General features: G+C 47.0%; 4 annotated features.

Annotated features, from left to right (window-relative positions):
• Positions 1,766-1,825: an enhancer, noted in NCBI's record as "active region_10792". NCBI's record gives its function as "activates an Ori minimal core promoter by ATAC-STARR-seq in GM12878 lymphoblastoid cells {active_cell/tissue: GM12878}" and the evidence as "EXISTENCE:reporter gene assay evidence [ECO:0000049][PMID:35858748]".
• Positions 5,741-5,930: an enhancer, noted in NCBI's record as "active region_10793". NCBI's record gives its function as "activates an Ori minimal core promoter by ATAC-STARR-seq in GM12878 lymphoblastoid cells {active_cell/tissue: GM12878}" and the evidence as "EXISTENCE:reporter gene assay evidence [ECO:0000049][PMID:35858748]".
• Positions 6,822-7,366: an enhancer, noted in NCBI's record as "OCT4-NANOG hESC enhancer chr16:48465998-48466542 (GRCh37/hg19 assembly coordinates)". NCBI's record gives its function as "activates a minimal SCP1, AML or CMV promoter by ChIP-STARR-seq in primed H9 embryonic stem cells {active_cell/tissue: H9 hESC(primed)}" and the evidence as "EXISTENCE:reporter gene assay evidence [ECO:0000049][PMID:30033119]".
• Positions 7,178-7,297: an enhancer, noted in NCBI's record as "active region_10794". NCBI's record gives its function as "activates an Ori minimal core promoter by ATAC-STARR-seq in GM12878 lymphoblastoid cells {active_cell/tissue: GM12878}" and the evidence as "EXISTENCE:reporter gene assay evidence [ECO:0000049][PMID:35858748]".

Raw genomic sequence — 8,966 nt, forward strand, 5'->3', positions numbered from 1 at the left:
ATCTAGGAGGCAGAGGTTTCAGTGAGCTGAGATCATGCTACTGCATTCCAGCCTGGGTGACAGAGTAAGACCCTGTCTCAAAAAAAAAAAAAATTAAAATTAAAAAATAAAAGTATTTTTTAAAAAGCTTTACATTTTCACGAAGTCCAATTTATCTATGTTTTTGTTGCTTTTACTTTTGGTGTCAGATCTTAGAGTCCATGGTCACCTCATCACTCTTTTTTTCCTTTAACACCTACAAAGCTTCCGGACCTCATGTCTCCTATGCAGGAGAGGCAGGACGTGTAGATGTCCTACAAAATAACCGTGGTGGAAGTGGCAAGTCAATTATCTTTCTAATACAGAAAATATTTAGAAAGCCACATATTTACACTGAATATGGGCTAAAACAGCATTTGTATTTTCTTTGACAAAGCTCATATTTAATGAAGTATGTTTATGTTGCTCTGAGAACCTAAGTTCATTTTCATCAATTATTTGTTTGGGTCTCTATCAAAGTGGACAATATGAAAGGTGTCTGCCTAGCCCAGAAACCATTGTTCCTCCTAGGAAACTGCCCCCACAATGTCCTCTCCCACCTTGGTGGCTCCCTGGAAGCCACATTTGTACCTCATGATCCCACTCCCTGGTCAGGACCCAGCCTGGCCAACCAATTCTGTCCTGAGAATCTGTCTTTGAGACTGAGAAATGACGTGTTCATTACTGCAGGGGACCATGGGACTGCCTCATCCTGCCATTTGATTTGAATTAAGTAGACTTCATTCCCTGCCTTGAGATCCATGTAAGAGATCCCTGTATTTATCTGTTTTCTTGAAACAGGGTCTTGCTCTGTTGCCCAAGCTGGAGCACAGTGGTGCGATCTCGGCTCACTGCAACTTCTGCCTCCTGGGCACAAGTTATTCTCCTGCCTTGGCCTTCTGAGTAGCTGGGATTACAAGCATGCACCACTGTGCCTGGCTACCCTGTATTTTTTAGTAAAAAGTTCTTATTTTCAAGTGTATCTGGGTTCATTTTGTACCAGTATGATTTTTTTTTTTTTTTTTTTTTGAGACAGGGTCTCACTCTGTCACCCAGGCTGGAGTGCAGGTCTGTCACTGTAGCCTTGAACTCCCAGGCTCAAGCCATCCTCCCAACCAACCTCAGCCTCCTGAGCAGCTGGGACTACAGCCACATGCCACCACGCCTGGCTAATTTTTGTATTATTTATAGAGATGGGGTTTTATCATGCTGCCCAGGCTGATCTCAAACTCCTGAGCTCAAGTGCTCCTCCTTCCTTGTCCTCCCTAACTGCTGGGATTACAAGTGTGAGCCACTGTGCCCAGCCTGATATTTTGAAATAATGTGTATGTTCCCATACTGGTGGGCTGGCTTCTCTCCCTGCAGGTACCCCATCTGCAACCAGAGTTGAGCTGTGAAACTGCAGTCAGAGAGGAGGGTATGGCTTAGTGCAAATGTGGAAGTCTCAGTCATACAGAAGAAAATGAAAAGCCTGTTCTTTCCTCTTCACAGGATTGTGAGAAGCAGGGATCTTGAGGTAGGTGAGATGGTTGGGCCCTTCATGTTTGTTTCTCTTTGGGGCTCTGCCTAGGTGAGAAGGGGATTCAGGCTCACCCAGCTGGGAGCAATGGAGCCTGAAGACATGAAGGCTCATGATTTGCTTCCCTGGACACTGTCTGGGGGAGGCTGCCAGCCCTGGGAGGCCTATCCTGTGGTTTGGCAACATTTTTAACAAGAGACTGAAGAGAACGTGGTGTCAAACACAGCTACAAAAATGAGTCTAGGGCAGAACCCCTTGGCTCTTCAAGGTGTGGCATTCAGGGACCTGGAGGTTTCCCCAGGTCCCAGCAAGGAGATGCAGAGAGCCTGAGAGAGCCTGTGGACCCTCAGAGGCCTGGCTGGGTGCTGAGGCCTCTATGGCCCAGAGCACGGATGGTGCCAGACGTACACTCACACTTCAGCATCGCCAGTCCCAGGGGCAGGGGCAGGGAGATGCTCAGCTTCAGAGACCAATGCACGTCCATAGGACCCTACCTAGATGGGAATGACCCTTCTGTCATCTCCAGGACTCAGTGACCCTCTGTACCAAGGCACCATCCTGGGGAAGAGAAGGGGTGGGCCTTAAAGTAGCTGAGAAATCATTGCCCTGGGCTCCTGTTTGCCAGACACAGACACAGATGGAGCAGACGCAGCTCTCCTTTCTCACCCTCACCTCTCTGCAATGTAAAGAGCTCATCGGACACTGAAAAACTAAAGAAGCCATGTTCGCTTTGCATTCTGGGTGTTCTGTGAACTCCAATTTAGACCAGACTATACTAAAAGCTCCAGAATCCAAAACCAACAGACATTGTTCTCAGGGGCCAGAAAAGTTAATCCAAAAGATACCAATGACTCCCTTGTTTCTCCTGCCTATCCTGCCTCCCTCCACCTCTCCCTCTCTCCTGTCTTTCCCTCATTCCTCAGTAGGTCTCAAATGCCCTATTGGAGGTCAGGCTCTGGAGATTCCAAGATGACCACACAATCCCTCCTCCGTGGAATTCACAGTTCTGAGACAAGACAGAGACCAAGCAGCTCCAAGCCGGGTAATTAACACCAACACTGAGGTGTCCACGGGGGCTCTGGGAGCAGAGAGGGGAGCCTCTTCTCTCTGCTTGGGCAGGTGTGAGGGCAAGCGTGTGAGTTTCACAAGAATGTGTGTACCTCTTGTATAGATGTGGGTGTCTGTGGTAGATGCAAACAGTTACCTACCCCTAAACGATTCTTTCCCTTCTTTTTTCCTAATGGAACCAGATTTTGTTTGAGGCTGCCTGTGTGCCATCTTAAGGGCTGATGCATGAATGATGAATGATTCTGTTTCCATTGCAGACTCTGTTTCCAGGCCCCCTTCCCTTGTAGCCATGGCTCATGATCCAGATTTTTTTTTTTTGTTTTTTTTTGAGATGGAGTCTCATTCTGTTGCCCAGGCTGGAGTGCAGTGGCACCATCTCAGCTCACTGCAACCGCCACCCCCTGGGTTCAAGCAATTCTCCTGCCTCAGCCTCCTGAGTAGCTGGTATTACAGGGGCCTGTCACCATGCCCAACTAATTTTTTGTATTTTTAGTAGAGACAGGGTTTCACCATGTTGGCCAGCTGGTCTCAAACTCCTGACTTCAGGTGATCCACCTGCCTCAGCCTCCCAAAGTGCTGGGATTACAAGCATGAGCCACTGTGCCTGGCCAATTTTTGTATTTTTAGTAGAAATGGGGTTTCACCATGTTGGCCAGGCTGGTCTTGAACTCCTTGGCCTCAAATGAACTGCCTGCCTAGGCCTCCCAAAGTGCTGGGATTACAGGCATGAGCCACCATGCTCAGCCTATTAAAAAGTTTTAGAGCAGGAATGGAAGGAAGTAAAGTACACTTGGAAGAGGGCCAAGTGGGTGACTTGAGAGATCAAATGCACTGTTTTGACCTTTGACTTGGGGTTTTATATGTTGGCATGTTTCTGGGGGTGTTGGTTCCCTTCTCCCTGATTCTTCCCTTGGGGTGGGCTGTCCGCAGCTGCAGTGGCCTGCCAGCACTTGGGAAAGGAGCATGCACAGTGTGTTTCCTGGAGCTGTGCACATGCTCACTTGAGACGTCTTCCCTTACCAATTGCGTGTTCCTATAAGGAACCAGTTAAACTCTAATTTTGCCTCTTAGTGTGCCTGTGTGAGCCCACTCACCCAGCTTCTGAGATCTTATTAGGAAGCTAATCACCAGCTTCAGGGTTTTTCTATCTGTTGGGAGACTACCTTTGCCTGGTGCTGGCTGTGACCAGTAATGATCTCTGTGAGACAGTGTAACAACTGCCTGACCATCACCTGACAGATGCCTGCCAGTCATGGCGGGAGATGGCCTCTTCTGCCTGCTCATGTCTAGCTACCTACTGTAACAGTTCTATTTACGAAACCAGTTCCATTTATGAAAATTCATCAAGCTGTTCTCATGATATGTGCATTTTTCTTTATGTTGTACTATAAGTGTAGCTGAGAAAAGAAGTATGGGAAGTGGAGGAAAAAGTGTGAAGAAAATGCTAATGGGTTCTGTCTTACAAAGTGAGGAGTGAAGAGAGTTTGTCAGGTTGATGGAGAAGATATAAAATCCGGAATATGTAAATGAACAATAGTAACCAATAGATGAAGTAAAAGTAATACTAGAAGTGTCAAACATGGAGGAAACTAGGGAGGTAAAGTGAGCGTTAAATTCTCATGTTTCATTGTATGAGTCAATAGATGTCTTCCAAGGTGGAATTAGCCACCTAAAGAATTCAAATCCAGGCCAGGTGCAGTGGCTCACACCTGTAATCCCAGCACTTTGGGAGGCTGAGGCAGGAGAATCACCTGAGGTTAGGAGGTCAAGACCAGCCTGGCCAACATGGCAAAACCCCGTGTCTACTAAAAATACAAAAATTAGCTGGGCATGGTGGCACACGCCTGTAATCCCAGCTACTTGGGAGGCTGAGGCAGGAGAATCGCTTGAACCTGGGAGGCAGAGGTTGCAGTGAGCCGAGATGGCACCACTGCACTTCAGCCTGGGCAATAGAGTGAGACTCCATCTCAAAAAAAAAAAAAAATTCAGATCCTAAGCTGGGTGCAGTGGCTCATGCCTGCAATCCCAGCACTTTGGGAGGCTGAGGCAGGAGGATCACTTGAGCCCAGGAGTTCAAGACCAGCTTGGGCAACATAGAGAGACCTCATCTCAAAAAAAAAAAAAAAAAAAAAAAGGTCTCAGATTCTCAGATTTCTAGTGGTGAAAAGACAGCTTCTGAGGTTGGGAGGCATGGGATGGAAGACTGTTGTCATCAGTAATACTGAGCTATTTAATTTATTACCATGTAGGCCAGGTGCAGTGGCTCACACCTGTAATCCTAGCACTTTGGGAGGCTGAGGCGGGCTGATTGCCTGAGCTTAGGAGTTTGAGACCAGGCTGGGCAACATGGCAAAACCCTGTCTCTACTAAAAATACAAAAGCGTAGCTGGACATGGTGGTGCACACCTGTAGTCGGGTGGCTGAGGCAGGAGAATCGCTTGAACCCAGGCGGCAGAGGTTGCAGTGAGCCGAGATCGCACCACTGCACTCCACCCAGCCTGGGCACAGAGCAAGACTCTGTCTCAGAATAATAATAATAATAATAATTTATTACCTTGTGCATCTATTATTTTAATAATACAGACCTTAAAAACAATGCAATTGACCAGGATGGAAGGAAACTAAAAAAAATAAAAATAAAAATAATACAAGACAATAAACAAGCACTACATTGTATGATATAGTCAAGCAGTGCTGAGAAGGGCCTTCTGATGTTTTGAGGCCAGAGCACCTCTTTGCCCTGGCTACCAAACCATGTCACCAAGACCCACAGAATGTCTAAAAGACCTTTTGGCTTTGAAATGTTTCTAGGACACAGGCTATAACCCACATTTTCCCTTAAACTATATTCCTAAAGTAGGCAATGGTATTTCTAAATCTCAGTTTTTCAGTACCATGGGGGAAGCACCAACAACTTTCAATGGTGCTAGGAGAGTCTTAAAGATGTCCCAACAGAATTATTTTTAATATATTTTATGATTTAAACAGTTTATACTCATCAGCATTTGTAGACATTATGAGGCAAGGGGAATACAGAGGAGTATAGGAACCTGCATAAAATTTGATAAACAGTAGGATGTTGTAATCTAAAAATTATTGGGGTATGAAATAAGATTTTTAGGAGGCCATTGGTTTGGACCGAGCTCCCGCACCAGGCTCAACAGACCAAACCAGAATGGAGTCACTCATGTGAAGTTCCACACCACCAAACTGAAAGTAAGTTGTTTATCTGACCTTCCAAGAAATCAGGACAGAGAGAGAGCGATAATAGCCAAATCCCCAAACAGTCTGGTTTTAGCTGGCATGATAAAAAAAAGTCCCCTCTGCTTTAACCTTTACAAGAAAAGTGGCTTTGAAATGACCTATTCACTTTCTGTTTTCTCTTTCTGCTTCCCTCAGCCCCTCTGTTTATAAAACCAAGTTCCGGGCCAAGTGTGGTGGCTCACGCCCGTAATCCCAGCACTTTGGGAGGCCGAGGTGGCCGGATTACCTGAGGTCACATGTTCAAGATCATCCTGGGCAATGTGGTGAAACCCCATCTCTACTAAAAATACAAAAATTAGCTGGGCGCGGTGGTGCATGCCTCTGATGCCAGCTACTCGGGAGTCTGAGGCAGGAGAATCGCTTGAACCCGGGAAGTGGAGGTTGCAGTGAGCTGAGATGGCGCCACTGCACTCCAGCCTAAGAGACAGAGCGAGACTCCATCTCAAAAAAAAAAAAATTAATTAATTAAAAAAATAAAATAAAACCAAGCTCCTCTGCTCAGCTTGTCAGAGCACTCATCTGTCTTATGAAATAAGTGTTGCCTGATTCTGGAATCACAAATAAAAGCCAATTAAGATCTTTAAACTAAACTTGTTGTAATTTTGTCTGTTGAAAGAGGTTTGCCATGGAATTAACAGAAGTCACCTTAAATTCAGGTCTTTTTCACACCTTGGACAAAACACACAGCTGAAGCAGGATGTCAGCTCACAAATGTTCATTTACTTCACTCCACAAAAATATACACTAGGCTGAGTCCTGGAGATTCAGCGCACACCTTCAAGGACCCTTTAGGAGAGTAGACAGATTTTGTGAATTAAAATGGCAATTAATAGGGCCTTCTCCCTATTAAATGTATTCATAACATTTTGCACCCAATTTAGGAGGCTCCTGGGCCACCCCTAAAGCCCATCCTTGGAAGGATTCATGAACTTTTTGCTCTAAGAGTCTAAGAACTTAGGACCACCGTGTTTCTTATCACTTCCATGGATCCTAGGGCAAGGGTGCTTCTTGGGAAGCCAGCAGCCAGGAGACTCCTCTTGCAAGAAGATCCTGGAACATCTCTTCTGTTCACAGAGATATTCCAAGTGGAACCAAAGACAAGTCGAGCACCTTTGTTTACAGCTGAAGAAACTGGAAACCCAGAAAGGGGAAGTTTCACACAAGGTCTACTTCCTCATCCACTTAGAGATCACAATAACAATAGTCACAATTGCTGCCTCAATGGAGTGCAGGGGAGTGGCAGTCACTCAAAGATCCTTCCAACACTCTGGCCTGGGCTTGATCATCCCTGTTCTCCAGAGTCAGAGAGGACGAGTGGCTTGTCAGGTCACACAGCAGGAAGTAGCCCAGCTTGGCACAGAACTCAGTTCTGTGGAACTTCAAAGCAGGATGCCAACAGTTAAGAGGGCTATAAAGGTGGCAGAGACACTGTCTTTGCCCTCATGAAGCTGGTAATCTTATTGGCTCTGGGGATGGGGCATTAATATGTAAAGAAGTTAACATAGGGGCAGTGGCTGATCCCTGTAATCCCAGCGCTTTGAGAGGCCAAAACAGGAGGATCACTTGAGGCCAGGAGTTCAAGACCAGTCTGGGCAACATAGCGAGGCCCTGTTCCCTACAAAAATAAACAAACAAATAAATAAAATAAAGAGTAAATAAAAAGTTAGCATATTTATTGAATGCTTATACCTGGCCTGGAGAGATGCTCCCCGGGATAGAGCCCTGAGTCCTGAATCCATGCTGCCGGATTTTGCATTCTCTTTGGCTCAGATGATAGTTGTTTTTGTTTTTTTGAGATGGAGTCTCACTCTGTTGCCCAGGCTGGAGTGCAGTGGCGCCATCTCGGCTCACTGCAACCTCCACCTCCCAGGTTCAAGTGCTTCTCATGCCTCAGACTCCCGAGTAGCTGGGATTACAGGCATGTGCCACCATGCCTGACTAATTTTTGCAGTTTTAGTAGAGACAGAGTTTTGCCATGTTGCCCAGGCTGGTCTCGAACTCCTGGCCTCAAGTGATCCACCCACCTCGGCCTCCCAAAGTGCTGGGATTACAGGTATGCGCCACCATGCCCGGCCTGAAATCACAGTTTTAATGCTGTGCACACTCAGGCTGCAGTTTGTAGAGTTCTGTCAGGCAGAGAGCAGGTGTCCTAGTTTCCTCAATTTTGCACCAACCAAGGGCCTCTGTGACTCCCACCTGGAGCCCTGCTTGTCTCCTCCAGCTTGCACATAAGAGGCAGCTGTGCTGAGTCTTTCTGCCTTGGTGGGGAGGTGAGAACTGCGCAGGGGGACAGGGAGCCTCTGCGGGGGTGGGAGGTCCTCTAATCAGCCTGCCATCAGTTATTGATCAGACCCCCGGGTCAGAACTTCTCCCTGGCCACGAGGCCTGGTTGACCTCTCCAGCCCGATCTGTTTCTCCACGGTCCTCCTTACCCCACTACCAATCCATATTTGCACCTGCCTGAACAGATACGCAGTTGCCGCCTTCCTTGCGTTGTCCACACAGCTCCCCTGCCTGGAAGGCCCTGGCCGTCCTGATCGCCGGGCAGTGAGTTCCTGTCCTTCCTTCACAGGCTGCTCACGCTCCAGTTCTGCGAGGCCCTCCCTGACCTCCAGCCTAACTTTGAGCCCTGCTGTTTTCAATGCCTCTGTTTCTGTCATTTCACTTGTCTTTCTCCTTCTTAGGGAGCCATATTCTTTCCTATGTCCCTGTCCTTTGCATGAGGCATAGTGTCCAGGACACACTCAAAAATACCAAAAAATGAAGGCACGCTCCTTCCCTTCTCTCCCTCTACACCCGGGCCTCATTTAATTATGCACAGACTCTGGGAGTTGGCAAGTATTCACTTCAATTCCTCACTTTACAGATGAGGAAACCAAGACCCAGAGAGAGGAAGTGACTTCCCCAAGGTCACAGGCTGTTGATAGAGTCCAGACTGAACCCAGGTTTCTTTCCTCCCTGTCTTGCACCCTATTCCCTTCCCCATGCCTCTCAGAGTAGCCTTTCTCTTGGGGAAATGATGATTTTATTTAGCCACAAGGACCCTGTGATTGGATTAGGTTGTCCTCAAGACAACAGAGGGGGCCTCCAAGAAAGA

This window comes from Homo sapiens, chromosome 16, assembly GCF_000001405.40.
Source record: "Homo sapiens chromosome 16, GRCh38.p14 Primary Assembly".
In the NCBI taxonomy this organism is placed as follows: Eukaryota; Metazoa; Chordata; class Mammalia; order Primates; family Hominidae; genus Homo; species Homo sapiens.